This window comes from Homo sapiens, chromosome 12 (assembly GCF_000001405.40).
Source record: "Homo sapiens chromosome 12, GRCh38.p14 Primary Assembly".
Classification (NCBI taxonomy): Eukaryota; Metazoa; Chordata; class Mammalia; order Primates; family Hominidae; genus Homo; species Homo sapiens.
The window spans coordinates 132,314,314-132,332,005 of record NC_000012.12 but is presented as its reverse complement, the minus strand read 5'-3'; the positions used below and the strand labels follow the sequence as shown (position 1 = coordinate 132,332,005).

Here is a 17,692-nt window from a genome sequence, read left to right as displayed (position 1 = left end):
CATGACTAATAAAGTCAATTCTGGAGCCCAATTGTCTGGGCTTGAATCCCAGATCCACGCTTTGCCATTCACGCGACCTTGAGCAAGCCAGTTGCCCTTTGTGTGCCTCAGTTTCCTCACATGGAACGTTAGATGACGCCAGTGTGTATTACACCTTAACGTGGCTGCTGCTCGTATTGACCAGGTGATAGGCATAGAAGACCATGTCTGGTGAAACCTTTGCACTGCGTGTGTGCCAGCTACCTGCATCATTATTCCAGCAGCTGTCCTCGTAACGTCGGGAAACATTTTACAACCTGCATTTTATAAGCAGAAGAATACGGCATTTTCAGGAGGGACACGGGAATGGCTATTGATCAAAAACAGACCAGGGTTTATCACACTGGCTGCATAGTAATCACCTCCCGGATGATTAAAAACAGCCTCCCAGGCTCTGTCTCAGAACAGGTGATACGTATCTACGGTAAACGCCCCGCAGACAGCTGCCTCCGTCCCAGTGCCGGGTCCTGCCTGGTTCTGATCCTCTGGATTTCCTGGGATAAACATCCTGAGGAAGAAAAGAATGGCTCAACAAAGAAAGGAGAAATGGGTGTTCGGCTCGCCCAGCCTCAGCCAAGGGGCAGAAAACCTCCAAGCTGGATAGGCTGTCATGCCCGATGCCAAGAAACGGATATTTGAAGAATAGAGTACTAAGCTCAGAGCCAGAACCCCCCAGATCCCCCTACACACATGTGCATACACAGACACACACACACAGGCACATGCACACACAGATATACATACAAACACACACATAGACACATGAACACATGAACAAATGCAGATATGAACACACAGACATGCACACATTTGAACATGCACAGACCACACACATGAACAGACATACATACACAGAAACATGCACACACAGAGACACATGGAGAGAAACATGCATACATGTGAACATGCACAGACATGAACACACATGAACACAGAGACATATATACATAGAAACATGCACATATGAACACACAAACACAGACATGCACACACAGACACACAGACACTCGTACACAGATACACAGACAAATGCACACATGGACACACAAACACAGACACATAGATGCACACAGATATAGAGACACATGCACACATGAACAAACAGAGATGAACACAGAGATATGCACACATGTGAACACACACACAGACATACATAGACACATACACAAATACACACAGGCACAGACAGACACATGCACACGCATGAACACACACAGAGACAATGCACACAGACACAGGCACATGCACACACAGATACATGCACACACGGGCACACAGACATGCACACAGAAACACGTGGACACATGCACATGCATGCGTGCTGACAACACAGACATGCACATATGCAGATACACAGGCACACAGAGGCAAATGCATGCACACTCATGCACACACACGGACACACACACAGCCAAGAGCTGTGAAGCCCCTTGCCTTACTCATCTCTGTATGGAGAGCCAAGCACAGCCATGCTCTTAATAAATGCTCCGTCATTTATTCACTCATCCCGCAAATGTTTACTGAACACCAGCTATGTGTCCAATCTCTGGGAACACAGGGGTGAACCCTGCCTTTGGGTGAAACTCCTGCCTCTTGGGTGCTTGCATTCTGCCAGTGGAAGTTGGGCCCCTGTGCTGCGCGGCTTGGCTGACATCTCCCCTGGCTTCCAGGGTCTCCTCCACAAAACGCCAGTGTGGGGCCAGATCAGAGCCTGGGCTGGGGGTGGGGGCAGCCGGGGTTTGCGGCCTCGGGTCTTACCTGCGAGCCTGGCTCAGGGACGGGGCCTTCTCCCTCCTGGTGGCTCCAGGGCCCCCTGCTGTTCCCGGAGGTCCGGCTGCATCCCAAGCCCCAACCCCCCCATACCCGTCCCGGGACTCAGCTTCCCCAGTCCTCAGCCCTGGACGGGGGAGAGGGAGGGAGGCCGGGAGCTCGGCTTGGGGAGGGGTGGGCAGGAGACTACCAGAGTGGCCCTGACCCGGGTCCTGCCCCGGCCGCCCCCTCCCCCATTCACTCCCGGCGACACCGCCCTGGCCAGGCATTCCCGGAGGCCCCGCTGCCCTCGGGTCAAGCTTGGGGTCGATTCGGACCGTGCTGGCCGTTGGGGGCCCCGGGCGTCTGGCGGGTCCTGGGGAGGGAGGGTCCGCGCCTGCCCCGCCCCCGCTCCCCGCGCCCGCGCGCCCTTGGCCCAGGCTACCCCGCGCGCCCCGCCCCCCGTCCCCCGCCCCCCGGACCTGCTGTCCTGGGGTCCCCGGGGGGGCGCGGTGGGGGGGGCGGGGCAGGCGCGCGGGGCGGTCCCGGGGGGCGGCCTTGAGGGGTGGGGGAGGCGGGGCGGGGCGGTCCTGGGGCCGCGGTTGCAGATGAGGTGAGGTGAGGCCGCGTCACTCTGCACCGGCGCGGTGGCTGCGGGGCGGGCAGGACAGGAGCCGGCACAGACACCGAGCGCCGCCCGCCCGCGCCTTCCCCGCCGCCCCCCGGCGCCCCCGGCCCCCCTCACCGCTCCCCGGGGCGGGGCCGCGCCCTCTGAGCGGGGGATGCCGGCCGCGCCCCGCGACCCCAGCCCCGGGCAGCCCTCTGCGCTCTGGGGGACCCCCGGCGGCCGTGGCCCGGCGCGCTGAGCTGGTGCTGAAGGGACAGCTCCGGCCGAGCCCCGCAGCCCCCGCAGCCCCGGGCGGCTCATGGTCCCCGAAGCCGAAGCTGAAGCCCAGGCCCGGGCGGGGATGCTGGGGATGCCCCGCGGGTGAGGCCCCCGCTGCAGCCGTGTTCATGGCGGTGGCCAGGAAGATCCGAACTTTGCTGACGGTGAACATCCTGGTGTTCGTGGGCATCGTCCTGTTCTCCGTGTACTGCCGCCTGCAGGGCCGCTCCCAGGAGCTCGTGCGCATCGTGAGCGGCGACCGCCGGGTGCGCAGCCGACACGCCAAGGTGGGCACGCTGGGGGACCGTGAGGCCATCCTGCAGCGCCTGGACCACCTGGAGGAGGTGGTCTACAACCAGCTCAACGGTGAGCGGGGGCGCCGGGGCGGAGTGGGGGCAGCCCTGCCCGGGACAGTGGCCACCCCGGGCGCGATGGGTCAGGCCGGCCTCGGGTGCGCGCCCCTCTGCGCCCCTGTGGGAGGGAATATACAGGAGAGAGGAGAGGGAAGGGCCGCGGAAGCCCCTTCAGCAGCGGGCAGCAACCTGGGTTCCCCCCGCACCGGGCACCCACCCCTCCAGTGGAGACTTGAGGAATCCCCCTGCCCCCACAATGACGCAAACTTGCTCTCCGAGGGAACTTCTGCAGAGGATCTTTGGAGCTGCTCTAGAAGCAGGCAGTGCCTAGGTCCAGGAGTGTGGGGTGGGGGGCTGGCTTGGCGCTCCAGGAGTGGGGGCCGTCAGGTTTAGGCTGCGCCGACCCCTCCACTCTTGAAGGTGGGGAAAGAGGAGGGTGGGGACGCCACACTTGGGAGGCTGCTGGTGCAGTGTCCTTTGCCCCTGAGGTTCGAAGGCACCCCAAATGCTTCGACCACTGGGCTAGGCGGCCCCCTGTCCTGGGGGTGCCCGAGGCCGCGTTAGAAAGTTGTTATGGGAGAAGCTTGAAGCTGAGACCTGAGACTCCTGGGAGGATGGAGTTGAGGATCATGCAGGGCTTGGCAGGACTCATTACCCAGGGGGGCCCAAGTTGTGGCACCTGGGAGCCCCAGAATCCATGAAAGCCTCCAGCTCCCGGTGGGTCTGTTTCATCACGAGCGGACGTAGGTCAGCCCGAGGAGCAGCACCGGCATCACCACAGGTCAGGGCCAGCGGCCACAGCTGCTGAGAGCAAGCACTTTTCCAGCTGCTCCACCTTCCCGGAGGAGCAGCCGCCCCCAAGGCCACTCTGCACCGGGGCGCCAGGAAGGAGAAAGTTTGCATGTGCCTACATCACTAGCTGGTGTGGCTTTCCGTTCCGTGCCGATGATTCAGGCTTCTGCCTTGGCAGCCCCAGCAAACCTCCTCCAGAAAGCATCCGTAACAGGCTCGAGTGGGAGGTGACGGGAGCTGGGGTTACGCGGGCAGGCGGGGGCTCCGGATGTGCCTGCTGTGTGTGGGGGCAAAGGCGGGGGGTGGTCTTGCGTTTCCTTCAGGAGCCACACCCTCTCTTGAGGGTGGGCTGCAGACAGGCCGTGGGGTGGGAGGGGGAGGTGAATCCCCATGAGGAGGGGTTGTCCCAGCTTTGTCTGACTCAGAGCACCCTGACTTCCTGAGCGCCTTCCCATCACCCACAGAATCCCTGACTTTCCCGCAGAGCTGTGCTTGGTGAGCTCTGTGGCTTCTCTGATCTTTCTGATTCAGCTGGAGCCACGAGGGGAGAAAAGTAGTTCAAGCAGCCGCCCAGCCGCCCGGCAGAGCAATTCATCTCCCGGAAGGCGGTGTGCCCGGCAATAGCACATGGCTCTATTGAAGTGTGCTCGCCATGGTGTTATGGTCTGTTTTATGGGGAGAGCCAGAGGATTACATAAAAACATTGGCAGCACACTGAGGTTGTGTAACACCACGAGGGCAGCTCGGCCCTGTGAGTCGTTTTCCCTGCCTCACCCTTCAAGGTGAGAATCGGCTGGGATTCTTGGTGGTGGAAAAAGCCAGGACCCATGATCCGCTTTGCTGACATTGGCGGGAGATAAGGAAGCATTCCGGGAAAGTGTGTCTCCCCCCACCGCCCACCGCCCCCACTGCCTTCTCCCATCCCGCTTCCTCCTGTCCTCTGTCCCCTCCCTTCTTCCTCTTCGCTTCCCTCCCCCTTCCTCCTTTCTTTCTTTTAAAATTGTTTCTCCTTCTTTCCTTCATCCTAGCTGTCCTCCCTTGTCAGCCTTTCTCCGAACGGCCCCTGCCATCTGTCTGCCTCTGTCTTTGCCCTCAACCTTTTGATGAGGCCGAGTTTCGTCCCCCTCTGTGATGAGGCTGTGCTGCGTTCCTCTCTGTGACCAGCAGGCCAGGCACAGTGTCTAAACCCAAGAGTCAGTCAATCTTTGCCCCAGGAAATGATGGGAGACACCAAAATTACTCTCACCCCCGGTGGGGCCCTACGGGGAGGGCGGTGCCGTAGAGGCCTGATGTCTGTCGCCATGAGGCCCTTTGAAACAGCATTACCCGCTCTGATGTTGGCACAGGCTCTCAGTGCTAAAAGGTGTGTAAGAAGCTCCCTGGAGGAGGCGGCCAGCTCTTAGATCACAGCCTGTTCCAGAATGTGACATCCCAGGATGCAAAATTGATTCCTGGGAGCTCCCACTCGATACTAATCCATCCGAGTTCAGAAAGGAGAGGGGGAAATCCGAAACAAAATGGATTGATCCCTTTTCCCTGCCTTGATTGCTTCCTGGAATTCCTCTGCTGGCTGGGAGGGGCCTGGTGGAAGGAAGTCCACGTCTTCATGGGAGCTGGAGGAGCGGGAGGGCCACTGGGGTGGGGAGGGGCCCAGAATCCAAAGTTCTTCCCACACCCTGCCTCCGCTGGTCCAGTGGCCTTTCTTTGGGATATCCATTGACCTTGGCAAAGAACTCCTAAGGAATGTGTGCAGATTCAAATTCATAAGGCCCCAGAGGGATGTTCATTAAGGAAGCTCTGTGTAGTCACTCCTATGTGTACATCAAGGTTTGCTTCTAAGTTCAGCGCTCAAGGCAAGGAAAAAATGTTTATACACAAAAACCACCCTTCTGAATATCTTCAGTTGCACATAAAAGACAGCATCCATGGTTTTGTGCGCAGCAGACACAGTAAGTCTCATAAACGCTAAATTTCAGAGCCTCTAAACTCAAGGAAAAGAAGGGGAAGAACTGTCTCCATTCAGTTGTCTGGGCATTCAAACCCTTCTGCCTTTAAGAAAATTTTCAAGCCCCTTGAGATGGGAAGGGGAGAGAGAGACAAAGAGCCCCCACTTTCTCTAGGCGCTTGCAGGGCCTACCCCTGTGTCCATGCGAGGCCTGGGCAGCGCTAAGGCATGCCAGGCTGTTTGTTGCTGTGGGCGTGGAGCGAGTGAAGGTCACCGCCAGGGAGCACGGTCGCCCGCGTCGCAGCGGCTGGACTCACTCTGCTGGGAGAGGAGAATCACCCCTGCCTGGCGCGGTCCTGGCCCTCCTGCCCCTCAGGAAGAAAGGCTCTGAATGGAGGATGGAGCCAGGGATGGCGATGGGAAGTTTTCCTTTTGTTGGTTGGTTGTGAGGGAGGTTGTTTCTAAAATTCAGAGCACATGTGTGAATTCCCTCTCACTGACCTGCCCTAGCCCAGGTCCCAGGTCTGAGAGGTCTGGGCCTGAGCAGCAGGAAAGCTGAGAGCCTGGAGCGGGGTGGGCCACGGGGCCCAGAGAGGTCCAGCGAGGTGGCGCTGGTTTCAGAGGGACCTAGGTTTCTGTAGTTACTAAAAGTTTACATTAAAAAAGCAGAAGGCCCCACTGTGGCCAGCCAGTTGCTGGTCAGAGAAGGTTGGAGTGTGGTGCACGCTCATTGCACGCTCATCCTGCCCACGGCCCCCCCTCTGGGGACATGGACTCAGGCTTCCTCCAGCCTCAGGAATTCCCACGTGCCTCATGCATCCCCCCATGACTGTGTGACACCTCGCTCGTGTCCACTGAGGGCGAGGCTGTGTCTGTCTGGTCCTGGCTCTGATGCCCAAGGCCTCTGGCGGTACTGTGAACATAGCACTCCACGAATATCTGTCCAGTGAGCAAGCGAGAGGGTTTTTCTCCAAACAATTCATTGTTTTGTTTAAATGAACTTAAGAGACACTTGTGTGTCTCCAGCGCACCCGTGAGTAGAAGGTGACTGAGTGCCGTGGGAACAGCCTGGAGACTCCAGCAGGCGTCACCCCACCAAGGCCTGCCCTGTCCCCCAGGGAGGCCTGAGCCGGGGCCACATGAGCACGACGCCGGAAGAACTTGGGAGAGCAAGGTCTGAAGTGGGGTGGCATCTCATAAAGCTGTGCCCGTGCATGGCCCACAGCCATGTCTGCAAGCTGGGCCCACCGGGACGCAGCCCCTGCTTTGGGAAGCCCCAGTGTGTGTTCAGAGCAGCAGCTGAGGGGACGTTCCTGTGGGGCTGGAGGGCTTGGGGAAGGGGTGGTCAGGTTGCCAAGGGGCGTATCTCCCCAGGCTGCCTTCGCCACAGTGGGGTCCCAGACCTTTAATCCGGACGCAAAACACTGCCAGGAGTCCGGGCACCATGAGTGACCACCAGTGAAGACCTGGCTGAACCAGAATGGAGAGGCTGGGGGGTGAGAAAGGGGCGGTGGGGGGAGAATGCCAGGCCACCCAACACTTGCCTTGCACCCGGCTGCAGAGGGCGGCGGTCTAGATGGGAGGGTGTCTCCCTGACAAGAGCCGGGGCCATGGCATCTGCTTCAGCAGCAGGCAGACTGCACAGCTGAGAGCGTGAACTTGGGGAGCCAGTCCAAAGACCCCCCGCTGCCACAAGTGACAGGCAGTCGGCCCACACTGCCTTAGTCCCATCCATAGCCGCTGGTCCGGGGTCTCGGACGCGGCCCCGGCAGGTCAGCCGTACGAGGACAGCGTCTCTTGCACGCGCGGCACAAAGCACGTGCCCCGTCAGTCCCGCGTGATGAGTGAGGGCCAGGTAGGAGCTCACAGACAGCGCCGTCGGAGCGCGCGGGGTCGTGCGGAAGGCGCGGCTGGAGGCGCACAGGCTCGGCCCGGGCAATGCCTGGCTGCCGCCACGCGTGCGTCTCGGAATGTCCTGCGGCCCCCACTCTGCCGGCTCCGGCACACTCTCCCTCGAGAGCTCCGGAGGGTGTCAGGTGTGGGTTTCTAAAAAGGGCTTTCCAAGCGTCTGCTCTGCTCTGCGTAAGCGTTTCCATTTTGGAAACGCTTTGAGAAATTCTCCTTGCTAGGAAGTGCGGTTTCCAGCAGAAAGCTTTTCCTATTCATTTGTGAGTTTTATTTCCCAAATGGCTCCTGCTGGTTCAGGCGGCCTTTCCAGCTTGAGTTCATCGTCTCTACCCTCCCCTGAATTCCCTCCGTGTATTACAACGTCCCACGTTGCTGATCCAAACAGCCGGAGTGGCCGTGGCCGGGAAGACAGCTGCAGCGCCCTGGAGGCTTCAGTCCCGGCCCCGGCAGGTCTCGCTTCCACAGTGGCAGCAGCGTTGACCGTCTTTCCACCCGGATCATTAACTTCCGGGCCCCCGCCCCGGCCGAGGTTCACAGCTTCCCCATGATTGTGGATTTACTACAAAAACTGAAAAAATAGTTACTACCCACGGCCAGAGCCCCCACTCTGACTCCGACGATGAGGCTGGTTCGTGGCTACTGGACGGGGATTGCCTCTCCGGTTTTCTGACGTCCGCTGGGGCTCCCGGCACTCGGAGGAGCCTGGCATTTCCTGGCTGAGATGAACGACATTTTGGTTGTGCGTTCTCTTCCTTGCCTGCACTCACACACAGCTGTCCTCCCCATCGCTGCCCCCAGATTCGCTGGGGATTTTGACCCCATCTGACCACTCAGAGCCACTCAGCCCGTTCCCTTAACCCGGAGGGTGGCCTCTGTGCAGACCTGCCCCTTTGAGTCTTGGGGGAGATGAGTTCCTAAACACTTGTCAGCCACTTCCCTTGGGGCGGAGCAGACCTGCGTAGAGCAGGCCCGGTCGGCAGCCTTCTGTCTGCAAACGCAGCAGCCCGAGCTTCTAGGAACGACCCAGGCAGGCGGTGATCCCCAGCGTCGGCGTGTGCTGGGCTGAGTGTTTGCATTTACAATTCAGCACAGCAACCTGCATATTTCAGAGTCTTGGAACTATTTTCTGAAAGGACAGTTTATCCTTCATTGGCTGGAAACTTGACAAAAATAAGTCTGTAAATTTCCATGTCAGATCTCCCACTGAGGACAAACGGGCAGGATGGGATCCATGTCTTGAGACCCGTGTGGTCAGCAGCCCATTTTCTCTTGAGCAAGCACAGATGCCTGTGAAGGGACAAGGAGGTGGAGAAGCCGGGAGGCGCTGGAGGAGGGGGCAAGGCTGACGCACGGCTCTCGAGCCCGAGGAAGTGCCCCTGTGGCCTGGGCTTTCCCGTACGGGACGGCCAGGAGAGCGATGGCCGCCCCGCCACTCAGCAAGCGGACTGGTGTCAGCCTAAGTCTGACAGTCCCCCCTCTAGCTGCCATTCACAGGAAGGAGAAACTCATTTTCCAGTCGTTTAAAAGGTGCCAAGGGTTGTATCATCTCGTAGCACGGAAGCAGCTCGGCCCTGGGCTCTGCGCCCGGTCCCCTGGGCTCACCAGGCCCTCCCAGGAAGCCGCCCAGGCCTGCTCCCACCTCCATCCTCGCAGAGCCTGCAAACCCCCCTCCCATGCCTGGGGACGCCATGGTGCTTCCTACGTTCTGGAAGTAGGAGGGGGCAAACTGTGAAGGGGTGACAGGAGCTGGGGTTGGGCAGACGCCCCCATTCCCTGTGCAAACACTCACCCCTCCCGGAGCCTTCTGTGGGGCAACTGAGTCACGGACGGGGATGCTGGGTGCTTGCTGTGCTCGAACTGGCATTTGCGGGCCCAGCCCCTATGAGCTGAGGGCCTGTCTCAGTGAGCAACGGCACCACCTCATGTGCCGCATGTCCGTTCCTTCCTGGCGAATTCGTGAGCACCTGCTGCATTCCTGAACTGCGCTGAGGACGCGGGCCTGAGCAGAGATGTCCCCACCTCAGGGGCTGACATCCCAGGGAGGAAGACGGGGAGTGAGTAAGTTGCATGGTCCAGATGGTCTCAGACAAACCTACGAGGAGGCCTGAGTGACGTGGACGAATGGGTATCTGGGTGGCGGGGATGGTTACGGGTTGAACGGGGCCCGCCCGGAAGCTCACGTCCACCTGGAACCTCGGAATGTGGCTTATTTAGAAACAGGGTCTTTGCAGAAGTAATTAGATAAGATGCCCTCAGCCAGGACTGGGGATTAGTGGGCCCTAAATCCAATGACTGTGGCCCTTCTAAGACGAGGAGAGACAGTGGGGGTTTGGAGGGGAGGACGCCCCTTGGGGGCCGAGGCGGGGGCTGGGGTGGTGCAGGGGGCCGAGGCGGGGGCTGGGGAGAGGCAGGATGTGTCTTACCCACTGCCTTCAGAGGGAGTGTGGCCCTGCGCGCCTGACATCCAACTCCCGGCCTCCTGTATGAGGGGACAGGTGTGTGAGGGGACAGGTGTGTGGGCTCCTGTGTGAGGGGACAGGTGTGTGAGGGGACAGGTGTGTGGGGTGGAGCCTCCCCACTCGGTGCCACTGCAGTGACCTGGGACACACACAGGTGGGTGGGGAGGGAGCCACTCTCTGAATTGTGAATGAGGAGAAGGAGCTGCCAGGAGAGAATCCGGGGGAAGTGCTGGGTGTCGGTGGCAGGTGCAGAGGCCACAGTGGGCCCTGGGGTTGGGGTGGTCAGGGCGAAGTGAGTGAGGGAGATGGTGAGGTGCTAGGGCAGGGGGCTGCCAGGACAGCCTGTTGGCCCCGGAAGGGTGCTGGCTGCACTCCCAGGCTCCGGACCATGCCAGAAGGTTCTTGACGAGGGATGTGACACTGTGGGTGCCTGTTTTGTGGGGGCACTGAGGTCCCATCTCTGGTGGTGCCCGTCTCACTAGCTGCTTGAAGCACATTTTCAGTTTCACTCGGATCTGCCAGGACCCAGATGAGACGGGCGACTCATTAGCAGACGGGAAACCAAGGTCTCCGGAGCAGCTGGTGTACCATGGCCTTGATTCTGGACCCACAGGGGCCTCGACTCCGGACCGACAGGGGCCTCGACTCCAGACCCACAGGGGCCTCGACTCTGGACCAACAGGGGCCTCGACTCCGGACCCACAGGCACCCTCAGTCAGGGCTGACACAGGTGGGGCAGTTCTTCCTGGCGGGGCCGCCCCCTGGGTGGGTTGTGGATGTTGAGCAGCGTTTGGCTCCACCCACTGCCAGGCACCCTCCTCCCCGCTGGGACGCCAGGAGGCCCCTGGAGCGAGAGTCCACCCTGGGCACCTGCCTCACTGACTGTGGCGTCGACCGCCTGGGTTCAAACCCAGCTCCTCCCTCCTCAGCTGCACGACTGTGGGCCGGTCACACGACCCCTGCACCTTGGTTTCCCTATCTGTAAAGGGGGGATGCCCGGAGCAACAGCCTCGGGGGGCCCTGTGGGCACTGAAGGAGGCACGCGGCACAGCAGAAGGACCCCCCCGCTGGCGCCGCCCACCTCCCCTCGCCTCTGAGATGAGGGTGGGCTGATGATTCTCCAACCCCGAGGGCACCTGGTGGGGGCGGAGGCCTTGAGCTGGCCCAGGGACATGGAGTTGGAGAGAATCAGATCATGCCGAGGGAGCTTCCCTCCACCTCCTCCACCGTGTCCCACGGATCCAGGCACACGGGCTTTGCTAACAGACACACCTGGCCATACTCTCAATGCAGCATCCCATTTCCATTCTGTTTACTGATATTTACTAGTAAAACGATACATGTTTTCTATTGTTGGTGCCAATCCATCACTTATTTAAGAAACGAATTAATTTAACTTAAAAGATGAGTCGATTTAAAAGAAACTGTTAAGTAATATGAACTCAAGCTTCTGTAGAGACGACAGATTCCCCAGGAATCCAGAAAGATCCGAGGTGGGGGCGTCTGTGCCTCGTGGCCCTCGAGGGCTCTGGGCCGTGTCTGCCGCACCCGCGTCCTCGAGGCGGAATCGGAACCCGGGAAGTGAGGTCCCGGCTCTGCACGCAGCACCCTCCCCGGGCGTTCTGTGCCTCTCAGTGTGAGTTTAAACAACAACAAATAAAAATAAAACAAGCGCGTGTGTGGATGTGCTGTGGGGAGGCTCCTGGGCTTGGCGGCCGGCCCTGGCACATTGTACCCACACGGACTTGGGGATGTCGCTGCAGGAGCAGCTTGAGGCTCGCCAGCCCTGTTAGCAGCTGAGATCTTTGATTTTCAGCTACAGAAAACTCAAGTCTGACAGAGTGAACGCTAACGGGACCCAGTGGCCCAGTGGTTCTGGCAGAGGGGATAGCGTGACCCAGCGGTGGGGGCCGCTGGCCGCCCCCTTTTCCTTAGGAGCGCCTGCCTCGTGTGCCCGCCTGCATGGCGGGGTCAGTGAGTGCCTCCGAACCTCCGGAGGCTGAGGGTGGAGAAGACACAGGTTCTACAGGAAATCCGGCTTCTCCCTAGAAGGACGCGGGAGGCTGGGCACCCAGGCCCGAGGAATGTCTTCTGTCTACGTGGGGCTGCGGGAGGAGCACCCGAGGCGACCTGAGGTGACCTGTGGCCGCGTGTTGTGCCGGGTACAGCTGTGTGTGTGGCGGAGTGGGGTGTTGACCTGCCCCAGACGGAAAGGCCTGTTGAAAAGCAAACTCAGCTAGTGTGTGCGTCAGGGCTCTCCCGAGGAAAGGAGCCGGCGGATAGAGAGAGACCCAAGAGGAGATGTAGGGTGAGGATTGGCTCCCGTGACTGTGCAGACCAAGAGGCCCCATCATCTGCCGTCTGCAAGCTGCAGGCCCGGGAAGCTGGGTGGGGTCCTTTGGCCTGAGTGCAGAGACCTAAGAGCCAGGGTCACGCTGAGGAAAACGGCATAACTTCTACTCCAAAGGCCCGAGACCTGGCAGCTCCACCCGATGTCCACAGGCAGGAGCAGAGGGAGGTCTCAGCTCACACAGGACATGAAGCTGCCCTCCTCTGCCTTTCTGTTCCAGCCGGGCCTCCGAGAAGGGGCTGATCCCTGTCTGCACTGGGGAGGACAGACCTTTCTTCCTCAGCCCCCTGATTCAGACTCAAATCTCGCACAGACGCACCTGGAAGCAATACTTCCAGCCACCTGGGCATCCAAGGCCCTCTCTATGGATGCAGAATTCACCATCACAACTAGCTTCAACCATGGGGAGCACACCTCACATGAAGGCACGCACGCTGCAGGCTTGGTGGCTCGGTGGCGGCCACGGACACCCAGGTCTGTCTCTGCTCCTCCCTCCCAGAGAGTCGCTGCCGAAGTCCAAAGGACCCGTGCAGCTGCCCGGTGTGCATGAGCAGGGCCCTGAAAGGCGGGAGGCCCCGCAGGGATGTCTGGGGACACGCAGGCTTCCTGCCTCTCCGTTAGGACTGTCATCTCTGAGCACCTAGCCAGCCACTGGCAGAGGGCGGGAGGAGTGCCCTGTGGGACTGGCCTGGTCATAACTGGCCCGGGCTGGGGCAGGAGCAGGGCTGGACCTGCTCCCACGATGTGTAGGGTTGAGTGGACCCGGCCACAGCTGGGATTGCCAGGCAGACGAGAGGAGGGCAGGCGGCCCACGGCGTGCACTGTGCATCAACGCTGGCCACACACGGGGCTGCAGGCCCAGCTGGGAGGTCAGTCGGGGTGCACATCCCAGGATCCACCAGGAGGTTTAGGGCGGCCCTGAACCTGCAAATCACCAGCTCTGCGTGATCCTACGGCTGCAGCTGCGACACTGCACCAGGGTTCAAGCGTGGATGCTGCCTGTGAGGCCCTGAGGCCCTGTGCTGATGGGATGGCGGATTCATGTCCCTGGTGGCCTGAGGCCCCTGTGTTGGAGGCTGGACTGAAAGCTGGGTCACGAAGGGCAGGTGCTCTTAGGGCCCCAGCTCTGGCCCTGAAGAGAGGCATCCATGTGGGTTCCCCGAGCACCCACCTTGTCTCTCGTTCTGGGTCAGGCCTGCCCAGTGCCCGCCCAGCCCCATGCATCATCCAGCGTTCTTGGTCAGCGTCCTGCCGCCCACGCTTGCCTGGCCAGAGGGGCTGTGCTCAGGCCCTTGGCTGTCAGCATTTTATTTTTATTTTTTTAATTTTTTCGAGGCAGGGTTTCACCCCCACCACCCAGGGTCAAGTGGTTCTCCTGCCTCAGCCTCCCGAGTAGCTGGGATTACAGGTGCTCACCACCATGCCCGGCTAATTTTTGTATTTTTTGATAGAGACAGGGTTTCACCATGTTGCCCAGGCTGGTCTCGAACTCCTGAGCTCAAGTGATCCACCTTCCTCAGCCTCTCAAAGTGCTGGGATTGCAGGCATGAGCCAGTGTGCCCATCAGTGTTTTATTTTTAAGTAAATAAACCAAGTGCAATTGTTCTTTGAAACGCCATCCTCGACCCTGTGGAGCGCCAGGGAAATAATGAAATCTAGAGGTGCCAGGTCGACCGTGGATCTTCCTGAGGCTCCCAGCAGCCCCTGTGCAGCCCCACCGATACCCCTCCTCCTTCTTTCCCTGCCCTGGTTGGAAGGGACAAGGCTGGGCCCCGGGGCTGGAGGGGCCCGAAGGTGGGGCCAGCTGGGGAGGGCTGGGCGCAGCCTCTACTGAGCGAGGGGGGTCTGGCCACCGTGTTTTTGAGCTTTTAGGAAGATTTTTAAAAACACAAAATCTCAACACAGGCTTACCAAAATTATGTTGTATTTACACGTTTATGGATAACAAATTAATGCTTTTAACAGACTCACTGGAGTGTGATCCAATTGTGCTGTTCGCAGGTGATCCTGGAATTCATAAAAACCGCAGGTCTCCTTGGTGAGGTGGCCCTGGAGAGGAGCTGACCCCACGCTAGGGAGCCAGTGTGGACGGAAGAGTGGCAAGTCCAAGGCCTGGGCCTGGGCACACACTGTGAGGACGCGAGTGGAAGGAGCAGGAGAGAGGGTGTGGCCTGGGGGGGCAGTGCAAGGCTCCTGTCCCCGAAGCTGGGCAAGCTGACCCCACCAGCTGCTTCTGTGGGGTGTGGGACAGGGGCTGTGCTCCATGGGGTATGGGATTCAGGCCCTGCTCTGTGGAGTCTAGGATGGGGATGTGCCGTGGGGTGTAAGATGCAGGCTGTGCTCTGTGGGGTGTAGGATGGGGCCGTGCTCTGTGGGGTGTAGGATGAGGCTGTGCTCTGTGGGGTGTAGGGTGCAGGCTGTGCTCTGTGGGGTGTAGGATGGGACCGTGCTCCATAGGGTGCAGGCTGTGCTCTGTGGGGTGTAGAATAGGACCATGCTCCGTGGGGTGTAGGGTGCAGGCTGTGCTCTGTGGGTGTAGAATAGGACCATGCTCCGTGGGGTGTAGGGTGCAGGCTGTGCTCTGTGGGGTGTAGGATGCAGGCTGTGCTCTGTGGGGTGTAGAATGGGGGCCAGGCCATGCAGCATTCCTGGCCTCCAACCACTAGATGCTGGTAGCTGCCCCACCCCTCCCCAGGTGTGACAGCCAAACCTGCCCAGGTCTCACCAAATGTCCCTATGGGTCCGAGTACCCCATGTGAGCGCCAGTGCTCGTGATGGGAAGGAGGCTGGGTGGCTGCAGAGGGAGTGGGCTGGGGTGGGCGTCCCTGTCGGATCTGAAAGGGTGGCTGAGGGACTACACAGAGCACGGGGGAATTTGCTGAAGCGGAGGAAAGAGAGCAGGGACACACCCTGGCAGGAGGAGGGATGAGGACCCGGGAGGTCCTGGCAGCACCTCGCACCTCAGACGGCCATTCCCTGAGCACAGGTGGTTAGGGTGGGAAGCTCGGGTGCTCCTGATTCTCCGTTTCCCAGGGAGGAAGGAAGCAAGGTCATCTGAGGTTGAGAACTGCAAATTCCTTTTCTTTCTTTTTCCTTTTTTAGTGAAGCTATAGCACTAAATAGATTTTTAAAGGAAGTATATGCTCGGTTATAGGGGATCTCTGTTTCCTCCCAGAATAGGGGCATAAAAATGCATCGTGAAATGGGGACGTGGGGTCGGGCTGGGGAAGAACCCACAGGCTGTATGGTAGAGAATCATGGCACCCCCCTTTGCAGGTCGGGGCCCGGGGCAGGCACTGACTGTGATCCAGCTTCATGCCTCTGCTGGAGAGCCGAGCCTGGACTGGGACGCTGGGGTCTGTGGGGTCGCCTCCCAGCCCGCGGCCAGCTCCTGCCTCTGCCTGCCTCTTCTTTCAGTGAGAGAGGAGGCGAAAGGCTGATGAGGAAACATGACGGAACCCAAGACCTGCAGGCGTGAGGGGGTGGGCGGCCGTTTCGGGGGCTGCCTGCCTGCCGTGCCCTCTCCAGGACCCCGCGTCCCCACCACCCTCCACTCTCGAACATTCTGGAGACTGTTCTCAGGGCCAGAGGCTGTCCGCTTTCTCATGCTCCAAGTCCCCATTGGCATCTCGGAATGGGCCCAGCACAGGGGTTTATTGCAGCCCCAGCATAGAGGGGTCTTCCCCTGAGGCCGTGTCACTCACACCCTGTGTGACGCGGTGGGGAGTATGAGTGGGTGGCTCAGCCCTCTCTGCTCTGTGTGGAAGGCCGTCTCTGGACCCTGTGTTCCCGCAAGGACACCAGGGCTGAGTGTGGATGCGCAGCCTGGTAATGGCAGAACTGGGATCCGAACTGGTGGCCTTCACAGAGACTGGCCCAGAAGACGCGACCTTCTCAGATCAGCAGCCGCGGCGCAACCTCGCCCACATCCCACGGCAGAAAGGGGCTATTTTTACTTTCCACAGAATAGTTCAGTCGCATCAGCTCTGCGTGCAGCTCCGGCGTGAAACCCAGCAAGCCCTGATTTTATTTCTAAGTCAGAAAAGAACAGACGGGGTCTGAATTCTGCAAGGGGCTATTTTCACACTATTTTGAGAAAATGGTGGAAAATGCCTGTTAATATTCTGAGGCTCGAGCACTTTGCAGTGGACACGGGGGAGGCCGCCCTGATTATATTCTGAGGCTCCAGCACTTTGCAGTGGACACGGGGGAGGCCGCCCTGATTATATTCTGAGGCTCGAGCACTTTGCAGTGGACACAGGGGAGGCCGCCCTGATTATATTCTGAGGCTCCAGCACTTTGCAGTGGACACGGGGGAGGCCACCCTGATTATCTTAGTTGCTCGGTGCAGAGCCTTGTGGTTAAAATGTGGCTAGAGCGCTGGGCCGCCTGGACTCAGAGCCCGGCCCCACCACCTCCCCCTGGGCCACCTCCGTCAGGCCGCCCAGTCTCCCGCTCCTCAGCTTCCTCATCTGTAAATTGGGGTGAGAACAGCACTCACCTCTGTTGTGAGGACGCTGGACAAGGGGAGCCTGCAAAGCTCTGGGAGCAGCGCCCGGCACCCGGTCGCGCTTGATAAGTGATGGCGCTGCTTCGGCAGATGTTACTGTGGTTTCTCATTTCCGCCACCCGAGGTCCACCCGACCTTCCAGCCCGACTCCACTGCACGGAAGCTAGTTCCGCTCTGCCCAAGATGCATGAATGCCAGGATTCCACGGGAAATTGGAGGGGGCATCGGGGAGAGGGTTTGATCCGATTCACACTTCATTCACCGAATGACTGCCATACTGTGCAGAGCCCAGCAGGGTGTGCCCAGTGCCCTGAGCAGCTGCCCCCTGGGAGTTCACAGTCAGGCAGGGGGGCAGCAGCCTGCACTCTCTGCTCTCTAAGGTGCAGGAGAGGGGATTGCTTTGAAGGGGAAGGTCAGGACAGCTTCATGGAAGAGGAATCTTTGAGCTGCACATTGGGAGTTGGATGGATCTGAGTCCTAATCCCAATGGGGTGACCTCGGGCAAGTCACTACTCCTCTCTGAGCCTTGGTTTCCTCATCTGTGAAATGTGAAAAATGATTATCCCTCCATGACAGGATCATGGAGAAGATTAGACAAGATGGTGCATATGAAGCGCTTGGCAGAGTGCCTCCCACATGGTAGGTCCCAGAAAAGTTAGCAAAGATGGAGACAGAAAGAGAGTTCAAGTGGGGCAGGATTT

General features: G+C 59.5%; 1 protein-coding gene and 1 long non-coding RNA gene across 2 annotated transcripts in view, besides 2 other annotated features; one reads left to right on the top strand and one right to left on the bottom strand.

Moving 5' to 3' along the window:
* Positions 1-430: 430 nt before the first annotated feature.
* On the bottom strand, positions 431-2,156 carry LOC101928416 (uncharacterized). The gene is made up of 2 exons (NR_120467.1): positions 1,798-2,156; positions 431-547 (listed from the first exon to the last, which is right to left on the bottom strand). It is a non-coding gene; the product is annotated as an uncharacterized LOC101928416 (long non-coding RNA).
* Positions 2,157-2,416: 260 nt separating this feature from the next.
* GALNT9 (polypeptide N-acetylgalactosaminyltransferase 9) overlaps positions 2,417-17,692 on the top strand; it is a 133,218-nt gene continuing 117,942 nt past the window's right edge. The window contains exon 1 of the mRNA NM_001122636.2: positions 2,417-3,040. Within this exon, the coding sequence (NP_001116108.1) occupies positions 2,803-3,040 (238 nt within the window). The 5' untranslated portion in view covers positions 2,417-2,802. The remainder of the gene's footprint in view (positions 3,041-17,692) is intronic.
* Positions 3,779-4,978: an enhancer, noted in NCBI's record as "P300/CBP strongly-dependent group 1 enhancer chr12:132903614-132904813 (GRCh37/hg19 assembly coordinates)". NCBI's record gives its function as "activates an origin of replication core promoter dependent on BRD2, BRD4, P300/CBP, MED14 and CDK7 cofactors, with strong dependence on P300/CBP, by STARR-seq in HCT116 cells {active_cell/tissue: HCT116}" and the evidence as "EXISTENCE:reporter gene assay evidence [ECO:0000049][PMID:35650434]".
* Positions 8,116-8,765: an enhancer, noted in NCBI's record as "H3K4me1 hESC enhancer chr12:132899827-132900476 (GRCh37/hg19 assembly coordinates)". NCBI's record gives its function as "activates a minimal SCP1, AML or CMV promoter by ChIP-STARR-seq in naive H9 embryonic stem cells {active_cell/tissue: H9 hESC(naive)}" and the evidence as "EXISTENCE:reporter gene assay evidence [ECO:0000049][PMID:30033119]".